At 33.7% G+C, this 24957-nt stretch overlaps 1 protein-coding gene across 11 annotated transcripts in view; it reads right to left on the bottom strand.

The window, feature by feature from the left end:
* The window catches only part of PTPRC (protein tyrosine phosphatase receptor type C), a 118764-nt gene continuing 99667 nt past the window's right edge, over positions 5861-24957 (bottom strand). For all 11 annotated transcript variants that reach the window (XM_047426381.1, XM_047426398.1, XM_047426409.1 and 8 more), the window contains 10 exons: positions 21311-21468; positions 20970-21105; positions 19134-19283; positions 15138-15228; positions 13788-13921; positions 12711-12845; positions 10966-11088; positions 10565-10743; positions 8933-9068; positions 5861-7431 (listed from right to left, as the gene is read on the bottom strand). In XM_047426381.1, coding sequence (XP_047282337.1) covers positions 7156-7431; positions 8933-9068; positions 10565-10743; positions 10966-11088; positions 12711-12845; positions 13788-13921; positions 15138-15228; positions 19134-19283; positions 20970-21105; positions 21311-21468 — 1518 coding nt within the window. In that variant the 3' untranslated portion in view covers positions 5861-7155. The remainder of the gene's footprint in view (positions 7432-8932; positions 9069-10564; positions 10744-10965; positions 11089-12710; positions 12846-13787; positions 13922-15137; positions 15229-19133; positions 19284-20969; positions 21106-21310; positions 21469-24957) is intronic.

The following is a 24957-nucleotide window of genomic DNA, read 5'->3' as shown; positions in this document are numbered from 1 at the left end:
GTTTATTTTTATATAATAACTTCAATGCTGTGAGTTCATCTAAGCTCACTATGTTGTGCAGTGTTGTTGAGAGCATATATTACACACGGTTTTGTTTTTGTTTTAATCATGAAATAAAGAAGAGACAGAAAACAATTTCAGGTTGTTTTCTTCACCAGTTTTTCAAAGCACATGACACTGATATTTGCAAGGTGGATTAGGAGCACAGCCTACAGTGTTTGTAAGAGCTGGTTCAAGTCCTGGCTCTGTCACTTGCTGTAACAGACCAGATACTGAACTTTTCTAACCCTCTACCCCATATAAAATGGAAAAAAGAATATATGTGGCATAGGATTTGTCTTATGAAACCAATGCAGGTATAAAACAAGGGATAAATACCTGGCATGTGTTTATCTCAATAAATGTTAATTATAATAATTATTTTTTATTTATAAGTAATGATATGAGATACATATTCTTGATTGAGTCAGTATTTTTAAAGTTCCTATTTGCACACTAATGTAAATAGTTTCATTTAATCTTTTCATCTCAGGATCTTACAAAGCTGAACTCTCAAATGTTCTTCTAAATATCTTTAACTTTTAAGTTCAGGGGTACATGTGCAGGTTTGTTACATAGGAAAACTTTTGTTGTGCGGGTTTTTTGTACAGATTATTTCATCATTCAGGCATTGAGCCTAGTATCCATTAGTTATTTTTCCGGATCCTCTCTGTTCTCTCTCCCTCCAGTAGGCCCCAGTGTGTTGTTCCCCTCTATGTGTCCACGTGTTCTCATCATTTATCTCCCACTTATAAGTGAGAACATGTGATATTTGATTTTCTGTTCCTGCATTAGTTTGCTAAGGATAATGGCCTCCAGCTCCACCCGTGTCCCTGCAGAAGATATGATCTCATTCTTTTTATGGCTGCATAGTATATCATGGTGTATATATACCACATTTTCTTTGCCCAGTCTATAACTGATGGGCATTTAAGTTGATTCCATGTCTTTGCTATTGTGAATAGTGCTGCATGTGTCCATGTATCTTTATAATAGAATGATTTATATCCCTTTGGGTGTATACCCACTAGTAGGATTGCTGGGTCGAATGGTAATTCCATCTTTAGGTCTTTGAGGAATCTCTACACTGTCTTCCACAATAGTTGAACTAATTTACACTCCCACCAACAGTGTATAAGTGCTCCTTTTTTGCCACAACCTTGCCAGCGTCTGTTGTTTTTTGACTTTTTAGTAACAGCCTTTCTGATTGGCATGAGATATTATCTCATTGTGGTTTTGATTTGCACTTCTCTAATGATCAGTGATGCTGAGCTTTTTGTCACATGATTATTGGCCACATGTATGTCTTCTTTTGAAAAATATCTTTTCATGTCATTTGTACACTGTTTAAGGGTTTTTTTTTTCTTGTAAATTTAAGTTCCATATAGATTCTGGATATTAGACATTTGTCAGATTCATTGTTTGCAAACATTTTCTCCCATTCTGTAAGCTGCCTGTTTGCTCTGTTGATAGTTTCTTTTGCTGTGCAGAAGCTCCTTAGTTTAATTAGATACCATTTGTCAATTTGTACTTTTGTTGCTATTGCTTTTGGCATCTTCATCATAAAACCTTTGCCAGTTCCTATGTCCTGAATGGTAGGTATTACCTAGGTTGCTTTCCAGAGTTTTTATAGTTTTGAGTTTTACATTTAAGTCTTTAATCCATCTCAAGTCAATTTTTGTATATGGTATAAGGAAAGAGTCCAGTTTTAATCTTCTGCATATGGCTAGCCAGTTATCCCAGCACCATTTATTGAAAAGGGAACCTTTTTCCCATTGTTGTTTTTTGTCAGATTTGTTGAAGATCAGACAGTTGTAGCTGTGCAATCTTATTTATGGGTTCTCTATTCCGTTCAATTGGTCTATGTGTCTGTTTTTGTATCTGTACCATGCTGTTTTGGTTACTGTGGCCCTGTGGCATAGTTCGAAGTGGTGTAGCATGATGCCTACAAGTGTGTTCTTTTTGCTTAGGATTGCCTTGGCTATTCAGGCTTTTTTTTTTTTTTGGTTTTCTGTGAATTTTAGAATGGCTTTTTTGTTTGTTTGTTTGTTTGTTTGTTTTTTAGTTATGTGAAGAATATCAATGGTAGTTTAATAAGGAATAGCACTGAATCTATAAATTGCTTTGGGCAGTATGGCCATTTTAACAATATTGCTTCTTCCTGTCCAAGAGCATGGACTGTTTTTCCATTTATTTATGTCATCTCTGATTTCTTTGAGCAGTGATTTGTACTAAAACAACTAGAGAACCAAGAGCAAACAAATCCCAAAGCTAGCAGAAGACAAGAAATAACCAAAATCAGAGCTGAACTGAAGGATATTGAAACACATGAAAAAATTCAAAAGATCAATGAATTCAGGAGCTGGATTTTTGAAAAAAAAATTAATAAAATAGGCTACTAGCTAGACTAATAAAGAAGAAAAGAGAGAAGATTCAAATAAACACGGTCAGAAACGATAAGGGGGATATTACCATTGACCCCACAGAAATACAAATAACTATTACAGAATATTATAAACACCCCTATGCACATTAACTAGAAAATTTAAAAGAAATCGATAAATTCCTGGACACATACACCCTCCCAAGACTGAAGCAGGAAGAAAATGAATCCCTGAACAAAACAATAATAAATTCTGAAATTGAGGCAGTAATAAAAGCCTACCACCACCACCAACAATAAAAAAAGCCCAGGACCCAGTGGATTCACAGCTGAATTCTACCATATGTACAAAGAATAGCTGGTACCATTCCTATTGAAACTATTCCAAAAAAAAACTGAAAAGGTGGAACTCCTTTTTAACTCATTCAGTGAGGCCAGCATCATCTTGATACCAAAACCTGACGGAGATACAACAAAAAAAGAAAACATCAGGCCAATATCCTTGACAAATGTTGATGCAAAAATTCTCAACAAAATACTAGCAAACCAAATCCAGCAGTACATCAAAAAGCTTATCCACCATGATCAAGTAGACTTTATCCCTGGGATGCAAGGTTGGTTCAACAAACACAAATCAATAAATGTGATTCATCACAGAAACAGAACTAAAGACAAAAACTACATGATTATCTCAATAGCTGCAGAAAAGATTTTTGATCAAATTCAACATCCATTCATGTTGAAATCTCTTGATAATCTAGGTATTGAAGAAACATACCTCAAAATAATGAGCGCCACATATGATAAACCCACAGCTACCATCATACTAAATGAGTAAAAGCTGGAAGTATTCCCATTGAAAACCGCCACAAGACAAGGATGCCCTCTCTCGCCACTACTGTCCAACATAGTATTGGAAGTTCTGGCCAGGGCAATCAGGCAAGAGAAAGAAAGCAAGGGCATGCAAATAGGAAGAGAGGAAGTCAAACTATTCCTGCTTGTAGCCGTCATGATCCTGTATCTAGAAAATCCTATAGTCTCAGCCCAAAAGCTTCTCAGGATAATGAATAACTTTAGCAAAGTCTCAGGATACAAAATCAATGTGCAAAAATCACTAGCATTGCTATAACCAACAATAGCCAAGCTGAGAGGCAAACTCCCATTCACAATTGCCACAAAAATAATAAAATGCTTAGGAATACAGCTAACTAGAGAGGTGAAGTCTCTCTCTGCAAGGAGAACTACAAATGTTCTTTTAAGTGAAGTAGATATAGTTGATTCTTTCATGTTAAAGCTGCGAGATTAAAAAAAATAGGATGCCAAGTTAAATTTAAATTTCTAATAAACAAGAAACAATTTTTGGTGCAAATATGTCCCAAATACTGCATGAGACATACTTGCACTAAAAAACTATTCTTGTTTCATTTAAAATTCGAATGTAACCCAATGCCTTGTATTTTATCTGACAATCAAATTTCATGTCATTTTGAAGAAAGTAATCATGGATAGTTTGAATAAAGAAGAAGAGTTTTCTTTACGGGATCTTAGCAAAAAACAAGAATTCATTTGTTGTAAGTTATCAAAAGCTTTTAATTGTCCTACAAATATAATTAAAATTTAGGAATCACTTTTGATTTGGGCAAAGAATAAAATGTAAAGAGAAATGTAAAGAGGTTTACAAAAGAATGAATACAAATAAAATGGACCCTTAGAAGAATAAATATTTTCACTTAAAACAGGACATAAAAAAGCCTAATTTTGAATGTCTTTGAAGAACCTTCAGATCATTCCAGATGTAAAATTTGTGTAGGAGATTGAAAGCATAGCCTTTTCTACTCATTTTAACAGATATTCATTTCCTTTGAAGTGATATATTTTAAGGTCTTCATATCAAGAAACATGCTGCAATTAGCTAGGAGCAAATAGCATTCACTTATTCAGATCTAATATGGTGTTATGAAATCATCTTATAACCAATATCTGGTATAAATCTAAAATTAAGATCAGTCCTAGTTAGTTGTAAAAATAAATTTTATGTTTAATATTTTAGAGGGAAAAAAACAGGAAAATTTCTCTGTACAAATATAAGAATTCTGAGGGGAAGCTTAACGCATTTAAAATTATCTTTGCAAAGACAGATGTTCAGCTAATCACTTTACACAGTTTTCCTCTTGCAAGAAAATATTAAAATATATATATCTCTTAAATGAAAATATTTATTTGTCACTTATGTACACAATTAATAGCTTGGGACCTGAAGTTTAGGCTTACTAAATGTATCTTTTATTCCCATTGAATTCTAATACCAGGAATAAAGCAAACAACTTTAAAAGAAACCTAGAAGTTTCTTTTTGCCCAATAAATGTAATGTTCTGGATTCATAACATTATCCCTACAGTGTACCAGGCTTTTGTAAGTCAAAACTTTTTGCTTAATATTTCTGACTGGATCCTAGAATTAATAATGGCAGTGCCAAACTTTAGCAAATAAATCTTTTATACCTTGTAACAGATCCCCATTAATGCAACCCATGGCCATAGACATAGACCTATAATTCACATATTATTTCTTTCTACAGGTAAAAATCATAGACATATAATTCCATGTTCTAGTGCCATGGGTCTCACCTTCGGTTTAGTATATGTTCTCACAAAGTAGTGGGCTTTCTGAGCCACTATTTCATCTCTTTCTTTACAACAAATTCCCATATGTAGAAAAAAAGTCTCAAGCTTGATTCTTAAACTAATAGAAATTATTATTGCTCTATTTTCTAAGTAGTTTTTAATCTTTCAAAAGATAGTGTCAGGTGGAAAACACATTTAAAACACACAACTACATTTGGAAGATGTTACTTGCAATTGAAACTTCTGAAGAAAAACTTTGCTTGTAGATTATTTAGACTTTCTGCTATTTGTATTTTGAAGCAATTAACAGATAAAGTAGGCATACATCATAATGTTCTATTGAACATGAGAACTGCAAATTTTAACTACATTATCTAGAAAATGGCAACTGATCAAGTTTCAATAAAAGAAAAGAATGCATAATAGTTTGAGTGACTGAAGAGGTAAGTGAAAGCAAACTTTATTTTTTGTGCCCATAATTGGTGATTCTAATCCCCTTTTCTCATTAATAAGTAAAGATGTAATAAGTAACCTTAATATAAATTAGAAACTGTGGCTTCATTGTAAAATTTACTTCTTTTCATCTGTTAAATAAGCACAAGGATCTATATACTACTATAAGGGTTAATTGTTAATTTTATATGTTACAATAGTGAAATAATTAGAAGTAGGGACACAAAATAAATGTGAGTTGAATGGACAATAATCGGTGCTGTATAGTTAAGACATATAAAATCAGACAAAAGAGTAAAGATATAGAAAACCAAACCAATCTAAAGGTTGTGTTTGACCTTCATGATAAGCTATTACAGAATTCACCAAAACGAGTTTTTATTACTTCATGAAAAATACCACTATTCTTGATTTTTTTTTTCTAGATCTTAAACAATTATTAGACTATTGGATAATTGGGGCCTGTAAAAGTGTCCTGCAAATGTTAATAAATGCATTAAACATATTTCAATAGGTGCATACACATTTCATATTTGAACATATAACACAATGTATTATAAACAAGAAAAAAATAATGGTTGAATTTTATTATGATTAGCGACATCCATTCCTGGTAAAAACATTCTAAGCATTGGAGAAATTCAAAGTAAATGCTTTAATGAAAGTTATGAATGGGATTTAACATGGGAACTATGCATATGCAATATCATATTTTTCATATCAATGAAAAATTCCATAAAAATAGCTATATTAAATTTCATATGTAAATATTTAACAAATATGTTTGTATTCTTCTATTTTTATACAATGAATATTAATACATATTGCATTTATTTATTTTAATGACATTTATTTAAGTTCAATTGTACAAAACCTAATTTGTTGTCAAAAGTATCAAGCAATAAATTTTAAATATTGTACAGGGAATAATCGAGCATGCAAAATTGAAAACCCCATGTAAAGACAGCATGATAAGCTCACTGGAAATTTTTTAATTAAATAAGCTTAAAAAGACATTGGACTAAATGCTAATATATGGAATATAAGATTTCCCAATGTTAATTTAGTTAACAACTTTTTTGTAGTAGCATACACACACATACCACCTTTATGTACTATCTCTAGAAGTAAAATAGTAAACTATATAAGATAGATATATATGAGTAGAACAAGGAGGACATCTTGAGGTCATTTCAGAAATGTACATGATTTTATTGAGTCTGCACACAGTTTATGATTTTTAAAAACAGATCCTTCAAGCTAAGTTAACACTTCTAATATAAAATGTATTTTTTCTTCATAAAAACAAAGGAAAAGCAAAAGCTTTTAGATTCACTTGAAAGAATTCTCTCTCTTTCTCTGTCTCTCACACAAACACACACCCATACACACATACATATACACACATAACGATTACAAAGAAGTTGTTTTTTACTGAATAAGAGATAAAATTTTAAAATAAGCATACGTCTGTACAAACTGTTCTGGCAAAACTATCTTAAATATTTTTCCACAGTAGTAAAATATAACCCTTCTACAAATATTGGTTCGCTGCATTTAATTAATCCACTGTATACCTATTTTCACTTCCTACTTCTACAAAAATAGAAATAACAGCTAACAGGAGGTTTGGAGTTTCCTCATTTATGTCTTTTCCTATGAACCTTGATTTAAAGCTGGACTTGCAGGACCATTGACAGAATGTTCTGGCCCCTCAGTGCCACTCGTGGGTTCAGAACCTTCAGCCTGTTCCTTTGCTTCAGGGAGCTTTTCTGGGGCACCAAGTGGATTAACACAATTAGCATCCTGCTTTACTTTGTCCACTTCATTATCAAATTCAATTTTATCTTCTTGATGGTTGTTTTTCTTTACTTGTCCATTCTGAGCAGGGTAGGTGCTGGCAATGACGTCATATAGGAATTGATATTGCTCCTAGTAAAGGAATTAAGTGGGAAATTACATGAAGAAAGTTGATGTCATTATTTTTATGCCAGATGAAGATTAGCAAGAACTAATGATTTATTTGTGGAAGTATTGGATGACAGAAAAGTACTTTTTGATATGTTCTCATAAAAACATCTAAATAATTTAGTTTCTTTATGGTGCTAAAGGGTTGACTGCAGGATACTTTTTGAACTTTACCTTGGAGCAACCCCAAACCAGTGTTCACTCCGCTCATGGGCCATTTCCATGCCTTTGCTCATGATGCCACGTTTTGTACTTATCCTCCTGTCTAATGCCTACACATTATTTAAGAATCAGGGCAGGAATCACTGCTTCGAGAAGCGTTTCTTGATTCCTAAAGTTTAAATTAAATGCCCTCATTCATGTTCTTCTTATAATTTTTCTGTCATTTTACTCACTACATTGATTAGTAAATACCTGGCTTTCCCTCATACCAATTAGCTCTTTATAGCAAGAGCACATAGCAAGCATTTGATACATTTTTAAGTACCAAGATATGAAATCTCAATATCATACATGATTAAAAGCTTTATATATTTTAGTGAGTAATTAAGTTTACACTGTGAATAAGGATTAATTCCCAGATGACCATCTACAGTTACTACCACATAGAGGGTATACACGATAGATCGATTACAAGAATATAAAACTTATTTTCCTTCCTGTATCCACATTTCTTTGCAATGTGAATTTGCAGGCCCTCTCAAGAAGTGGAGTCTATTTCCCTACCCCTTGAATCTGGGCAGGCTTTATGACTTATTTATTTGGCTAATAACATACAGAAGAAGACATGTGTGTCACTTTTAAGCCTGGGCCTCAAGTGGTCTCACACAAGTCTTCTTTCCCTTGTGGAACTTGCTGCTTTAATGTGAATAGGCCTGGGCTAGTCTTCTGGATGAGGAGGGACATGTGGCCCACTCACTGTTGTTGCCATAGCTAAATGGCAGCCACATGCCAGCCTACTGGCAGTGTAGGTCACTTTAGACCAGCCAAACTGTAGGGCACACATCAGCTGAAGGCAGACACATGAGTCAGCCTGGTCTCTATTGCCTGAGCCTGAGGGCACCAGCAGAACATTCCAGCATATCATTAGACTACTGAACCATAATAAATGTTATTTGTTTAGGCTCCCAAATTTGGGGGTGGTTTGTTACACAACACAAATCGATACAGGAGTGAAGGAAAGAAAATTAAGAAATTCATGAGCATTTAGGGAAAGGCTCTTCATGAACTGTCACAACAAAGTGCTAGTAAACTTTAGGCTCTTATTTAGACTTATAATAATTTAATGTGAATTATCATGTAAAAGTAGAAAAGCTAAAAGAATAGGAAAGAAAATAGAGAAGAGAAAAGGAAAGGGGAAAAAAGAACAAACGAGAGGAAAGGAGAGGAGAAAAGAAAAAAGGAAACCGTCAAAAAGAAAAAAAAAATTCCGAGCATGTTAAAAGCAATGGTGAAGGATACTTACGAATGTGGAAACCATGCCTGGCCTAGCTTTGCGTAGAGCTTTTACCACTTGAAAAATATCCACTACCTCTTCTGTTTCCGCACTTTCTAAGAGATTTAACAAAGCACAAAATATTCCCGTTTGCTGAGATCCATCCCTATAAAAGAAAGAAAAGATAGAAAATAATCCTACTTCTCACCAAAAAGGGTGATATTAGAATAAAAACAGGAAGAGAGAGAATATATTTTTTGCTTCATGTTTATCATAATTATCTTATTCCAACCTCTTTCAAGAACCAAATTATTTACGCTAAATGCATTTTTAGGCAAATTTTTCAATTTAAGAGTGTGATAATCCTGGAATTGAAAACTTATTTGTCTTCGACTTTACAAATATATTTTCTTTTATTTAGTATTTTATGGATTTTAATGCATTTTTATTTACATCTGAAGTTGTTGAAACCAATATCAGAATGCCAGTATGATAGATAAGGAAACCAAGATTTGGAGAAGAGAAAGCTGATGTAATCAGAAATATTAGACCTAATATTTTGTAAATTACTAGAACACATGCTCTTCTTCACTCTTCTGCCTCTCTACCACGTTTCACAAATGTTTTCACTTCTGCATCAGTAGAAAAGTAATACCTAGTAGAATTATTCACTAAAAAGAGGGCAATCAAATAGTTTACCAAACAATGAGAAGTATAAAGCATTATCATAAAGATTCAATTTAAACAATATGTTATCAGCAGGACACTTTAGTTATTGTACATAAATCATATTCTAAGAAACATATATAGTTTTACAGTGTAAACTTCCCTTCCTCAGCTTTCTTTCCACATAAATGCTGAAAATTCATATATTTCTTAAGGCTTGATTCTAGTATATGCAATTCCAATAATAACAATTAGACTTTTTCAAAAATTCCAAAAGTTTTTCACTAGATAAACATTTCTCATTTTACTTTACTATTTTTCGTTTCTCATTTACTTCAATATTCTTTTTCATGTAAACTTTTATATTATATATCTTTCTTTCAATTATATTGCTTATTTAAGGTGAATATGTAAGCACCTATCACAGATGAAGAAACTAATAAAATCTAGTAGTATTATTGATATTACCACAATCTTTGCCTTTGGTTCAGTTTAGAAAATTAAATAATGAGTTTCAAATCAAAATTGCTAAGCTTTGTGATTTCAGTTAATATTTAACTTAAAATATGTTTAATAAACTTTGTGTTCATTAAACATATTAGGTGTCTTTGTGACACCTAATAGAGTAGATCAATGTATATGGGTATATGTGTAAGGTGATACCCATCTACCTATCTGTTCACACACCCTTCCATTCATTAATTCATTCACACAAATGACATTCCTGGCTCAATGTTAGCTACCAAGGAATCAAAGATGACATGACACCAAGTATTAAAAAACACAACTTAAAATTATTGCACTATAATATAATCACTTCTATTATATTTCTACAATAGTTGTGTTGTGGAAACAACCAAGAGAGTGACCGACTCCATAAGAAGTTTTTACTGTGGTTATGTGTTTCATATATGAGGATAACTAGATAAGACAACATGTGAACCGAGAAGTCAAGCATTATGATTTTGAGAGCACATTCTACCAAATCCCACGCACCTGCAGTGAATGAGTAGAGGTGTACTCTTGTGATGCTTGTTCCCTTCAGAGGAATTCTTCTGGGGAAGTTTTTGTTTGACGACCTGAATCATAGAGATTAATTCCTTGGGTTCTGCAGGAAGCTGCTCCACACTCCAGTTTGTATATTGGTACTGGTACACAGTTCGAGAGTCTTTCCTCTAAAATCAGAATTGAAGAGAGCATTAACTGGAGTGAAGTTCAGCTTATTTTCTAATTTGATAGTCATATTTTCTTCACAGTTACTTCTATTTAAATAATTTTAAAATGTTATTCTGAAACATTATTTATATGATGGCCTTGCCTGCATAGAGTAATTTATATTCATTTTGCTACCAGATCCATTATATCAAAGAAATATACTCCCCAAATTGTTTCCATACCTTGGAATGTCTCAGTTCAAAGACACGAAGGGTATAAGTTGAAGATTTGTCTGTGTCTTTCAGGTCAACTTCAATATCTCCATATGTTTGCTTTCCTTCTCCCCAGTACTGAGCACAGATTTCCTAGATAAAAGAAGACAATTCAACAATTTGTTTCCTATTTGAAATATGCAAAGGATCAGTCTCCCTCTTTCTCCCTTTCTTTCTCTGTCTGTGCCTCTTTTCTATTAAATGAAAATTATTGTGTTCTAAAATTGAAACCTACTTATAAAAATCCAGAATCTATTTAAGTGCTGGCGACCCATTTAATAAATATGTGGTGTTTCCTTGTGTAAGAAAAGGGAAGCTGAGCACAATCGAGGTGACTGGGACACCCCCGGAACAGCTGTTTTCCTTAGTGTAGGTCTTTGAGGTTTGCTCCTCTTTTCCACATGCTTATCATGACCTCTTCAATATTTATGGCTGGCATGAGTCAATGTTATTCATGACCCTTTCAATAACTCAGGTCCCACTGTCCCTTCAGTGGTTCTTGAGGAAGGAGGCTGCATCTTTTGGAGCTTTGTCTCTGTCATCTTGTTGACCAACACCATAAGCAGCTTTATATATTTTGTCTACATAGCTAAGGAAAGGGCCAGATTGAAGAGTAGATGAACCACAAAAGTGTTTCTTCTTACTACAAACTGTTGTCTACCAACTACAACCCCACAATTTCTGACAAAGACAGGGAGTCCTGCCGGTACTTCCATCCTGTTTCCCAGCTTTCACAATTTATATGAAGGAAAGGATTGTGGGAATTCCATGCTAGAAATCTGGACTTATATTCCTTTAAAACAAAAAACATAAAAAGCAACTTTCCATGTACAGGGGAAGGGGACCAGGTGAGGGTGAGAAAGAGTGAGATTTAGGGGAGAGAGAGGGGCATAAAAAAGCATAAATCTTTTGCATACTTATAAGGTTATTCACTGAATAGGCTTGAACATATGTCAGATAATGTGGTTGGTGCTAAAGCTGAGTGAGATCTACCACCAGGGAAATTTTAATAATAACTGAAGACATTAAGAAAAGGATAAAATATCTGTCACAAGCATTAAGTAAAAAAATCAAATTATAGCTTAGATTCACCTTCAACTATAGACTTTTATGGCAATAAATATTATATGGGAATAAAGAAAGGATGATATAGATACATTTTTCAGGAGTTTGGTCTTGTTAAAAGAATAGGGTCAAAACTGGAAGACAGCACACATTTAGTTACATGGAATATCAATAAGTTTAGACTCAGTGATGACAATGCAAATGGCGTGTTTAGGCTTGGGCATGAAACCTGCTTGTCCAGAGTGGAGAGGATGGAAAACATAAAAATGGGAGGAAGATGAAAGACACATGAGGGGGTGATTGTCCAGGGTGCTGGATATCACAAAAAGATCTTGGCTTTTATCTTGAGAAAATGAGGAAAACAGCGTGAAAATGTAGCTGTTATTTGCTGTGACGCTGACATTGCTGCATCCTGGCTAATCTGTGAGCAGCATGCAAGACTGGAGGGGACAAACAGGAGAGACTGTCAGAATCCAGACACAGCTGATGGAGGCCAACACCAGGGTGAAAGGGGTAAGACTGAGCAGACAGAATTATGTGATGGAGGGATAAAAAAAGACGTGGGTATGGCGATGAAGCAAGCAATCCAAGACTAGAGAATGACGTTTTATGACAGAAAGGCTTAAAAGAAAATCCTCAAAAGTACAAACCTGGTCTCCATGTTTCAGTTCTGTCAGCATAACAATAACTTTGACTTTTCTTTGGAAGATCATCTGCCAAAAGTCACCAATGGTCTCCTTCAGTGGTCCCTGAGCAGCAATCATCACTTCAGGTTTCCAGTAGCTCTTTTTAGACAAAAAAAGGGTGGGACTTCGTTACTACAGAAGAGAGCTCAGTAGATTCTTAAAGTAACCATTTGGAAATATAGTCAGTTTGATATCAATGCTGTTACATACAAATAGTAATATTCTTATGTTTCTTACAAGAAACAATGTAATAGCTATATGTAAAATAATTATACAGATAATAGTAATTCTTAGCTAATAATGTGAAATCAAGATTACAACATATCTTGCGAAACAAATTTTCCTTTCCACAAAAGACACACATTTTTGTTTCTCTATAAAGGTTAATGTGATTGTAAAAAGGAATTACTTAAGCATTTCAAATTACCTTCATCGTGTCTATACTAATTTTAATTAGTGTCTTTACATTCTTATTATATTTCCTAATTAAACTAATATTCTATGAATGTGTGCTTTAGGAAACTTTGGAAAATAAGTAAATCCAACAGTGTATAAATAATAAATATTTAATAAATGACTAAAGTTTCATTGTTTGAATTCTCAGTTAATTAAAAAAGTGGGGGGATATGACACAGACTCACCTAATAATTCAGTTTATCTGAATGAAAAGTTTCTAACCATACAAATATACAAATTTGTCATTGCCTACAATTTGGGTATCTGAGTATGTATAAACATTTTCAAATACTTGTATTTGCTCAAATTTTACTATTTTTAAAATTGATGTGATTATAGCTATATTTGTCATAAAATATAACCAATAGCATTATCTTATTTTGTCTCAGGTTATTAGGTTATAGTATTTTTAAATCTTTCATTAAGTTAAATTGTAGCATTGAAATTGAAACTCTCATGTCAATCTATATGTAGTTATGACCAAGCTCATTATTCTTTTATAAAATCGCTTAATGAATGGCCCTAATAACATAGATATTATTTTAAAATGTTTGGATCTTGGGTTTTGGCAATTTAAGTACCTACCATTATAAAAGATGCATTGATGTATTTGCTTGGTTCCTCTGAATCACTGTCATCATCAGAGGATTCATCTGAATCATGCTCACTCTCTTTACTCATTTCCAGCTCATGTTTAAGTGGCACTCTGTTATAGTCATCTATGTGAAATAAATCAGTAGTAAGTCTTCCTTGAAAAAATTAAATTTCTTCTTCATTGTCATGTGGAAATTTGAAAGTATTTAAAAAGGGACAGATTGTATTATGAAAACTTACTGATCTACATGAAATAAGATCCTATATAAAATTCAGTACTTGTCGATAAACAAATTATACAACAAAAGTCTAAGAAAAAGGATTCCAGGAAAAAACATGGAACATAATTCCATGTCAAACAACAAAGAGATATCATATCATTATATATGATTATTTAATCTTTGATACATATACTTTAATTTCCCATGGACTATTATAATTCTGCTTGATATAAGTTTACAAAATACATAGCGTAGATTTTTTCCCTCAATTATACTCCAGTAATATTAAATTAACAATCTTATATGGGTAGCTTTGATTAATTATTTAGCCCAGAAAATTATTTGACCTATAATTTCTCACTGTTTCTTAATTTCTATAATTTATAATAACTTGGTCAAATGATTTGATTAACCATATCACCATCAATTCCATATTTTAAACTACATTCATAAGGACTCCTATGAAAATTAACTAGGTCAACCATGCACTGATCTGATTTATTTGGTCATCTAATTTATCAACTTGTGTTATATTTTATCCATGCTAATTTTAGTTTATGCAGCTGAATAAAATTACCATATGTGATCATTTTAATATGCTTAAATAGTAGAATTCAAGTATTGAAACTGTGCATATTTTGATCTGTTAAATTTGAAGATTTAGAATTTATAGAGTATTTTCCCCTTACTTTCAACCTCCCAGTTATAAGGGATAAAAAGGAAACATATAGAGAACAAATGGATGTAATTTTTACTATTTGTCAATTACCCTGGAGTAAATAACTGAAATAAACTAAAAATGAAAGAAAATGGGTAAAAGAGACTTGCTCTTTTTTCTCCCAGCTTTATATATTTCTCTTTTATGACAACCCATTTCTGAAATAATTGGTAAAAAGAAAACACTGAATACAGTCTACCCTCCAAAGCCCATTGTAAATGTTCAGGATTATAAGTTCTTGCAATAACTAGTATTTTAATACCTAGTAACTTCTTCCCTATTAACAACCAAATGTTGAAAACTTGCTTCAAGATAATTTATATGACTGTGTGTCCCACATTAAACAAATCCAAAAGAGCTTAACTTTATCTGATACAAAAAATAAAAAAATAAACTACATACATGGGATGACATTAGAATTCCTGTTTTTACTTTTATTTTCTTCTTGATTTCCAATGTGCTGTGTCCTCCAGCTCCTATATGAAGGAAGTCTCTGAAAAAAAAAAAAAAAACAGAAAAACTCCTTTAAAATGTAAATATTGGCTTATTGCATCATAAGATGCTCCCTAAGGAAAAGCATTTCATTAATTTTTGTGAAATTTGCATATGCTCCCTATAGGCCATAATTTTTCGGTTTGCCTCTGATTTTTTTTCTTTAAATTGCTCAGGCATTTAGTCCTTTTGACAGGGCTAGTATGCACTAAAGATATATATGTAACAGACTATGTCTCCTTCTTCAGAGCTGCTTGATAGAAAAATAATATAGTTTGTTCTTATATAAATTGAAACCACTAGACCGATGTTGATCTATATTGCAAAAGCAATGGTAAGTTATTTTAAATGATCAGAAATAAACTTTGGAGACAACACATTCTTAGGAGACTTGGCACATGTTTTGAAAGTTCATTCTTAATTTGTTTACACCTTCCAGATTGCTTTCCTCTCACCCACAGTTCCTAATTAGTCAGAAAAGATCCATCATTTCTATACACAAATCCTTTTAGTTTTCTTTCTTCCTACTTAATCCAGTCTGCCTTCATTTCTCGCTTGTAAAACATCAACAATTTCCTAACTGGCCTCTTTGTCTTCAATCTCGCCTGCTCTAATCCTTCTAAAACACAAAACAGAAGATGCTCTTCTGAAGATGAACAGCTTTCCATCACTATAAGAGGACAACAAACCTCCTCAAAATAGCATAAAAAGTCTTTATTGATACGCCCCTGACTGTTTCTCCAGCCTTACACCTTACTGGGTCCCTCAATACTTCTACCAAACCAGCTTCCTCAATTCTTGGAAGGGCCAAGCTGTTCTTCAACTCTTGGCACATAAACACTTTTTTTTTTTTTTCTTGCTTGAACTACCCTTTCCCCTTTTGGTTGCTCTAATAACTTTTCTTACCCTCTAGGTATCAGTTTAAATACCAATTTCTTCTGGAAGACACCCCTGCCTACAGTCTTTCCACTAGTCCTTAAATAAGTATTTGTCAAGTGAATAATATTTAATGATAATAGATAATGTTACAAATAACTGAAACTGAGAAGGCTCCTCATGTACAATTCGGTAAGATTTTATATACACACACACGCATGTAGATACGTGTGTGTATATAGACATATATTTTTTCAGCATAGTACCCTCATTCAAACTAATTATGGCACCCTGTTTCAAACCTCATTCTTTGCTACGTAATTGAGTGAAAGAAAATATCATCACTGAATTTTAGGCCACTTGAACACCACCATGAGCTGCATGAAGGACCAGATGTTTTGGAAACTGTTACAACACCTTGTGCTCTTGTGAGTGTAGTCACCGAGGCAGCCTATGCCCTGTAGCAATACTCAGGATTATAGGTGGAATTAATGGCTCACCTTCATCTAAGACACAAAGGATCTGTCACTCTTAAATCTCTACCTGTTTCACTTGCCATCACAAGTCTAAGCTTCCCAGTGCATCCACATTCCCCAGATTTTTATTCCTGAATGGTTATTTGTATCCTCAGATACAACCCAGTCTCTTACATCTAACCCATCAGTGCCTTCCTCCCTGCCCTCTGATGCCCATCGTCTGTCATCTGTGAACTCCCATTTATCTTAATCATCTTCTCCCAACAGTCACTTCACCCTTTTTTTTTTCTTTCCACCAATTAAAACCTGGATGTCAGCTAAGGACACCACCAATAACTCAGCAGCCCTTTTAAGAAAAAGTTGACTTTCCTCCTCACACCCCATTTACCTCACAGCTTCAAGAAAAGATACGTGTTCTCCTTGATCCCTGATTCTACTTGCAAACCATTTCTACTCATTTGCTTTCAAATCAACCAAGCACTTTGATATTCCTGCCATCATACTATACTAGCTTCTATCCACCGGCTTCACTGGGAAGTGTCAGGTATTGATTTCTGAATCACTCCACCTCATTTAGTTTTAGGCTTGGCTAAGTATATTCTCTTCTTTCCAAGGTCTGTCATCATTTTTGGTTAATTCAACATTGACAAGAATAATCTATCCAAGACTCTAGTCTCTTCATTTCTTAGCTTCTTCACCTCCCATGACTTTCCCTCCACTTCCCAGTCATCCACTTTCATCATTCCACCTTTGTAGGTTTCATTCCAAATATTACATCACCTCTAAAATCATAAGTTCAACTATCTGTGCTATTGAAAATTACCCCTATTATTCCTAGTCATTTATTCTGATATGTTCAACCTAGCAATCTGTAATTCTATCAAAGTCTCCAACTTATTATCCTTACTACTTTCTCTCACCTCCCTCATGTGGCCAATTTGCTTTTTATTTTCCACCTCAGTCATCATTCATTTGTAAACACCCTCAACTCGTTTGCCTCACTATTTTCAAATAGTCACTTTTCAAAACCTAGATAGGTTTAACTCAACTATCTGCATACACAGCCTCTACCCCCAAAGAGCTCAATGCTGCCATAGAAAACAATACAACCAACTGACTAATTCCTCTTTAAACTTATAATCATAAATTTCAGGTGATCAAATGATAACTTCTGGCAATCTTACTGCCTCTGCCTAGGGAGATTGTTTTTATACTTTGAGGTAACTAGTTTATACCCTTCAAGCATTGAGCTCTTCTTTGCCCTACTCGCCCTTGTATCTCTCAACTCTCAACTGATGACCTAGCCTCACATTTTCTTGAAAAATGAAAGATCATCAGGCAAGAGCTGCCTCAACTTCCCAATACCAAATTTACCAACCGACTTGCATTTCTACTCTCATCTTCTGTCTTACTGTCTGCTTAAATGGAATAATTTCACAGCTTCCATCTGTGATCTGGATCACATCCTCTCATCCTTCTTCCCATGTCCACTTGCAGATCATTTTGACTCTTGTGCCTAGAATTGTACTTGGCACATAGCAGAAACTCAAGCACATTTATTTAGTGAAAAAAATTGTCTGTCTTTTCTATAGTAAATAAACATTCATAAGAATGTTTAACTTAAATGTATAACTGTCTCTAACAGCTTATGTGTTTATGTGGATTAGTAGGGCAGGTATATTGAATAAGGTTAATTTATCAGCTAGAAAAGCAAGAAAACAACAATAAAACACTACTCTGTTTGAGACTACCCTGTGTCTGCTAGTTCTTCCATTATAAGTACAGGTCTTCTGGGGGATTGAGTCACTTGGTCATTATTGCATGCTCCACCTCCACCCCCACCTTAACCCCACTTTGATCCTAAACATTAAATGGTTCTGCATGTGATTAAAAGCACACTCCTGGTCTTTAGAAACTCTGAATTTACCAGTTTGGTAGATTATGGAATGACTCAGTAACCTGGAAATCATAGGTGGAACAAAAAAAACACAAAACATTTTTTTGACAACTGAGCAATTTGAGGACAGCTATGCAAACTCTCTGAAATTATAGTGAACTACATGCTAGGTTAGCTGTGAGAATAATTGCCTAATAAATAGGTTAAGACACATGTACTTATCCTTTACTGTGTGTCTACCAGCTCCAGCCAGTTCAACTTCCTAAGCAGTCATAAACTCTTCTAATGATTTCCTTTACAAACCAAAACCAGATACGATTTTTAAAGGTGATATGCTGTATTGCCTTTGGCAGACCAGTTTTGTGGCTATATACTATTATTTTGACACTTCATTTTATACCAGCTTAATGAGGAATGGCTAAAAGTATTAGCAATAGAATCAGATTTCTGGGTCTAAAGAAATCTCCTATGTAATAGTTGTGTAGATTCAGGCATTTCTCTTAACTCACTGTGTCCTAGTTTTCTCATCTGTGCTCCTTTGGTTCTGGTGAAGACTAAATGCAAGCACTATGTCAAGTGCATAGCAAACACCTAGAAAGTAGATGACACTGAATAAAAGTTATCTGTAATTATTATTATTGTTGTCACTATCATTACCTGGAATTCAGCCTCTAGTGGAGACGGCTCACTGGGTGGATCCCTTTTCTTCATGTTATGTAGATATGGATGTAATTCAGACAAATTCACTTCTGTTTCTCCAAACTGATTGTATTCCACCAAAGCCTGATGGATCAAGATGTACTGGGCCTACAATTTCAAGAACAAATACAGATAGTTAACTGATAATCTAGAGTCCTCCAAGTCATATTTAAATAAAATATACATTCCCCATAAATTTGCTCATATTGGAACAATTCATGGCAAAGTAAATTGATATCTATAATATTTAAATATTCTGGAAGTTCACTCTCAGAGTTTTCTGGAATATGAGCAAATTCTATTTTCAGATTATTTTTTCAGAAAAGAATTACTTTGCAAATAGATTATCCATGTACTCTGTATTGCACAACTTTTATTCCTAAAAACTAAAGAACATTGTATGTTACTTCCTTTAGTGATTATTGGGTCAGTAAGCCAAATTACTGAATGTAAAACTATAATAAATTTCACAGTATATTCAAGAGATAAAAAAGCAAGTTGTTATTCCTTAGAAAACCTTTTTTTATAGTTTTTAGAACTTAAAATAAGAAAAGTATTCTTTTAATAAGAAAATTATTTTTTTGTAATCCAATGGGCCAAACCCAGATTTAACTACTCTTTACTGCTTATTTTGTTTGAATCCAGTATTTTCAAGGAAATGGTATACTTCTGATAATCCTCTTTAACCGCCACCTTTAGTTCCCTGAGTTTGGCACTGTCTTTCCACTGTACTTTATTTTCCACTGTAAATAATTTCTTTTTACCTGGTTAACAATTTGTTTTTATGTTTCTACACTGCTATCTATGTATCTGTAATCACAAGCATTGTACATTTTCATGTTTTTTTTAAATCACATAAATTATATCTTGAATGTTTCGTATGGCAGCTTTACTCACTCATTGTTTTCATCTGAGCATCTCTCCAAACAGACAGACACAAACCTAGATCATTGCTTTCTACCACAACATAGCATTTGTTGTACAGAGAGTTCACATGTCCACATTTTGTCTTCCTATTCCCCTATTGATACATATTTACGGTGTTTCCATTCTTTCATTGATATGTATTTCACTTTTTTTTTTTTTTTTTTTTTGCTATTTTGACAATGCTGAATGCAATGCACATTCTTGCAAATGTTTCTAGTTGATGCTTCTCTTGGGTATATGCATATATGTGATTTTGCTGGGTCAAATACAGACATTTTCAGTAATTACCATCACTTACAATCACCAAATGCATAGCATGGGCCAGGGACTTGTTTAAGTGCTTTATTTGTATTACTTTTGTGGTTATAAGTCTGTGAGGTATTATCATTGTCTCCATTTTACAGATGACTTAACTGAGGTGCAGTCAGACTAAAATTACTTAATAAACAATACCACTCACCCTCGTATTAATAATTAAAAGCAAGATTTGAAACCTGTAAGTGTAGTTTCTAAAACCAGCTGTTGATTACTATACTATTCTGTCTCTTCAGTTTAATTTTATGAGATGATGCCAAATCTATTTTCAGCATTTTTACTTTTTTTGCCAATCTGATATATGTTAACAGTAGTTCATTATTTTAAAAATTATATATTTTGTGGTCATCTTTCTTCCACAGTACTTTTAGGCACTAATGAAAAATGCTTCTAAGTATTTCTGGTGATTACCACGTTTTAGTTTTCAGGAAATCATCTACTGTTTGAGGTTGTGAAGAATTTGGATTTTTAAAAAATATCATTATTATCACTTGGAAAAGATTTAAGTCCAAAAAACCAAAGTGAGAATAATCACTAAAGGTTAGAACATACCTCTACTTGAACCATCAGGCATCTCTGTCGCCTTAGCTTGACAACATAACCATAAACATCCACTTTGTTCTCGGCTTCCAGGCCTTCTAGCATGGCATCAATTCCGATATAGGTTCCTGTGCGCCCAACACCAGCACTGGCAAACCAAGCAAAAAAAAGCAGAGGCATGATCATGGAAAAGCTGTCAGGTGTGAAGCCAATATAAGAATCTAAGCTTCTCCCATAGGTTGTTTCCCAAAATAGCAATTGCCAAAGGGAAAGATGTCTCTAACAGCCCTAGGCAGGTGGATTCTGTTGGAGTTTTTTTGTTGTTGTTTTTTTTTTTTGTTCGTTTTTCCTACCTGCAGTGCACCACAATGGGACCACTGAAGAAATTGCTGAAGGCATTCACTCTCCTTCTCAGTTTGAGGAGCAAGTGAGGATCCTCAGGCACCCCGTGGTCTGGCCAGCTGGTGAACTGAATGTGAGTCACCTCTCTTCCAGTTGCTTTTTCTTTTTTCTAGTCAAGAGATAATATTTTCTTTGAGATGATTTTTTTAAAGCAAACTATGAAACATAAATAAGTGGAAGGGAGTACCAGTACAAAGTCTCCTCGTGTAAACATAAACTACTCAAAAGAGTTCATAGTTTCCTCAGGTGTCTTATATATTTTCTCAACCATGGTTGTGTTTTCCTTTCTAATCAATAACTAGTAGTTAAGATATTGTGCAGGACTTGCATGTACTACCCTGTAAGCAATAACTTAACAGTAAGGTAAGTAAGGTAATACTTTCTTTAAAAGTATAACCAAAATTTCTAGGAACTTGCATGCTGTCAAGCAAAAAAAACCCAAAATAAACATACACCATAAAAGTGGGGTGCATGGGTGGAAGCTTTTTGGATTTGTGTTTAAAATGATTTGGTAAAGGTCATTCTCACAACTGTTTAAAATACTTCTGCTTGATAGGCCAGCAAACAGAACTAATTCATATGTGAGCAAAGTCTGATTAATTATTTGATGAACATTGTATTCCTTAGGCCTTCACATGGTAGCATTGTCAACACAGAATGTAGAGAGACGACTGAGGAAAGTCAGCCCCAGATTAGAGCTCAGGTTTGTTCTAATTTCAAGGTAACCACCATAAGATGCATAAGTCATAATTCTATGGCCAGGTATAAAGAACCATCTACATTTAGATAACAAAAGAAACACACAAACTGAGTTAATTAACACCAGTAAACCCAGACTACAGAATGTAGCCAGATAGGCATCAATCTAGAAATATATCCTCATATCTATGGAGCAGGTGCCTTTGTGGCTTAGTCAAACAAGTGTTTGGCCAGAAACTATTGATAGGATTGTTTCACAGCACTCTATAGACATAACAATTAGTAATACCATGGAAACCTAAGAAGACCTACGGAGATATATAGACTAAGTCTGTTTCTCCTGTAGAAAATATAGCTAGACTATACAAAAATAAAATTTAGATTACTAAAAGCCCTACAATAAATGAAATTAAGAGAAAATCTTAACCCCCATGTAAAGACTTGTAGTTTTTTAAACAGCTCTATCAAGAGACATTTTACAATCTTGATAGGTTGCATGTATCTAGGAATTTATCCATTTCTTCTAAGTTTTCCAATTCATTAGCATATAACTGCTCATAGTAGCATCTCATAATCTTTTAAATTTCTGAAGTATCAGTGGCAATGTCTCTTTTTTCATCTCTGACTGTACGCATTTGAGTCTCCACTCTTTTTTCCTTAGTCTGACTAAAGGTTTGTCAATTTTATCTTTTTTTTTGAGATAAAGTCTCACTGCAAAGCCCAGGCTTGAGTGTAATGATGCAATCTTGGCTCACTGCAACCTCGGCTTCCCAGGTTCAAGTGATTCTACTGCCTCAGTCTCCCAAGTAACTGGGATTACAGGTGCATGCCACCACACCTGGCTAATATTTTTTTGTATTTTTAGTAGAGACGGGGTTTCACCATATTGGCCAGGCTGGTCTCAAACTCCTGACCTCAAATGATACACCCGACTTGTCCTCTTAAAGTACTGGGATTACAGGCATGAGCCACTGCACCTGGCCTGTCAATTTTCTCTTTTTAAAAACAACATTTTATTTCATTGATGCTTTGTATTTTTTTATTTCAGTTTCATTTATTTCTACTTTGATCTTTATTATTTTTTCTTCTAATTTACAGTTCAGTTTGCTCTTGCTTTTCTAGTTCTTTGAAATGTATCATTATGTTGTTTATTTGAAATTTTTCTTTTTTAATGTAGGTGCTTACTCTTACAAACTTTTCTCTTAGTACTGCTTTCACTGTATCACACAGGATTTGGTTTGTTGTGTTTCCATTTTCATTTGTTTTGAAAAATTTTAAAATTTCCTTAGTGATTTCCTCATTGAATCAGTGGTCATTGAGGAATATATTGTTCACTCTCCATGAGTTTGTATAGTTTCCAAACTTATTCTTGTTATTGATTTCTAGTTCTACTGTAGTCAAAGAAAAGTTTATATAATTTTTTTTTAATTTTGTAAGACTTGTTTTGTAGCATAACATAAGGTATGTCCCTGAGAATGATCCATGGGCTGAGGAGAAGAATGTGTATTCTTCAGCCATTGGTTGAAGTGTTCTATAAATGTCTATTAGGTTCATTTGGTCTACAATGCACATTAAGACCAATGTTTCTTTGTTGATTTTCTTCCTGGGTGATCTGCCTAATGCTGAAAGTAGAGTGTTGAAGTCTCCAACTATTATTGTATTGGAGTCTATCTCTCTCTTTAGCTCTAACAATATTTGCTTTATATATCTGTGTGCTCCAGTATTAGTTGCATATATATTTACAATTGTTATATCCTCTTGCTGAATTGACTCCTTTATCATTATGTAGAGACAATCGGTGTCTCTTTTATTAGTTTTTGTGTTGAAATATACCTGTGTTATATAAGTATAGGTACTCCTTCTCTTTTTAGGTTTCCATTTACAAAGAATATAATTTTCCATCTCTTATTTTAAGTCTATTTGTGTCTTTACAGGTGAAGAATGTTTCTTGTAAGCAACAGATTGTTGGGTCTTGTTTTATTAATATCTATTCAGCCACTCTATGTATTTTGTTTAGAGAGTTTAGTCTACTGATATTCAATGTTATTACTGATAAATAAAGACTTACTCCTGCCATTTTGTTATGTCTTTTATGGTTGTTTTGTGGCCTCCTCTTCCTTCTTTCTTTTCTTCCTGTCTTCCTTTAAGTGAAGGTGATTTTCTCTGGTGGTCTGTTTTAATTTCTTGCTTTTTATTTTTATGTATCTGTTGAATGCTTTTGGATTTGGGGTTATCATATCTTATAATGCATTATTTTACACTGAAGACAACAGACATTGTGTAAACAAACTAACAAGCAAAGTGTAATATAATGAAAATGCTATATTTTAACTTCATTCCTCCACATTTTGCCATTTTCTTGTTTCAATTCATGTGTTATTTTGCTCTCCATGTCTTGAAAAGTTGTTGTTGCCATTATTTTTGGTACCCAAAACCTGAACAGACAACAAGTAATGAAACGGAGGTTGTCATGAAAAGTTTCCCAGCAAAGAAAAGCCCGGGACCTAATGGCTTCACTACCACATTTTACCAAACATTTAAAGAAGAACTAGTACCAATTCTACTCTAACTATTCCAAAAAATGGAAGAGAAAGGAATTCTTCCAAACTCATTCTGCAAGGCCAGTATTACTCTGATACCAAAACCAGACAAAGACACATCAAAAAAAAGAAAACTACCGGTCAATATCCCTGATGAATACTGATGCAAAAATCCTCAACAAAATACTAGCAAACTGAATTCAACAACACTTTAAAAAGATCATTCATCCTGATCAAGTGGCATTTATCCAAGGGATGCAAGGATGGTTCAACATACACAAATCAATTATTGTGATACATTATATCAACAGAATGAAGGACAAAAGACATGATCATTTCAATTGATGCTGAAAAATTAT

This window comes from Homo sapiens, chromosome 1 (assembly GCF_000001405.40).
Source record: "Homo sapiens chromosome 1, GRCh38.p14 Primary Assembly".
NCBI classification, from domain to species: Eukaryota; Metazoa; Chordata; class Mammalia; order Primates; family Hominidae; genus Homo; species Homo sapiens.
The sequence above is the reverse complement of the archived record's forward strand: the minus strand, read 5'-3'. Positions and strand labels throughout refer to the sequence as shown.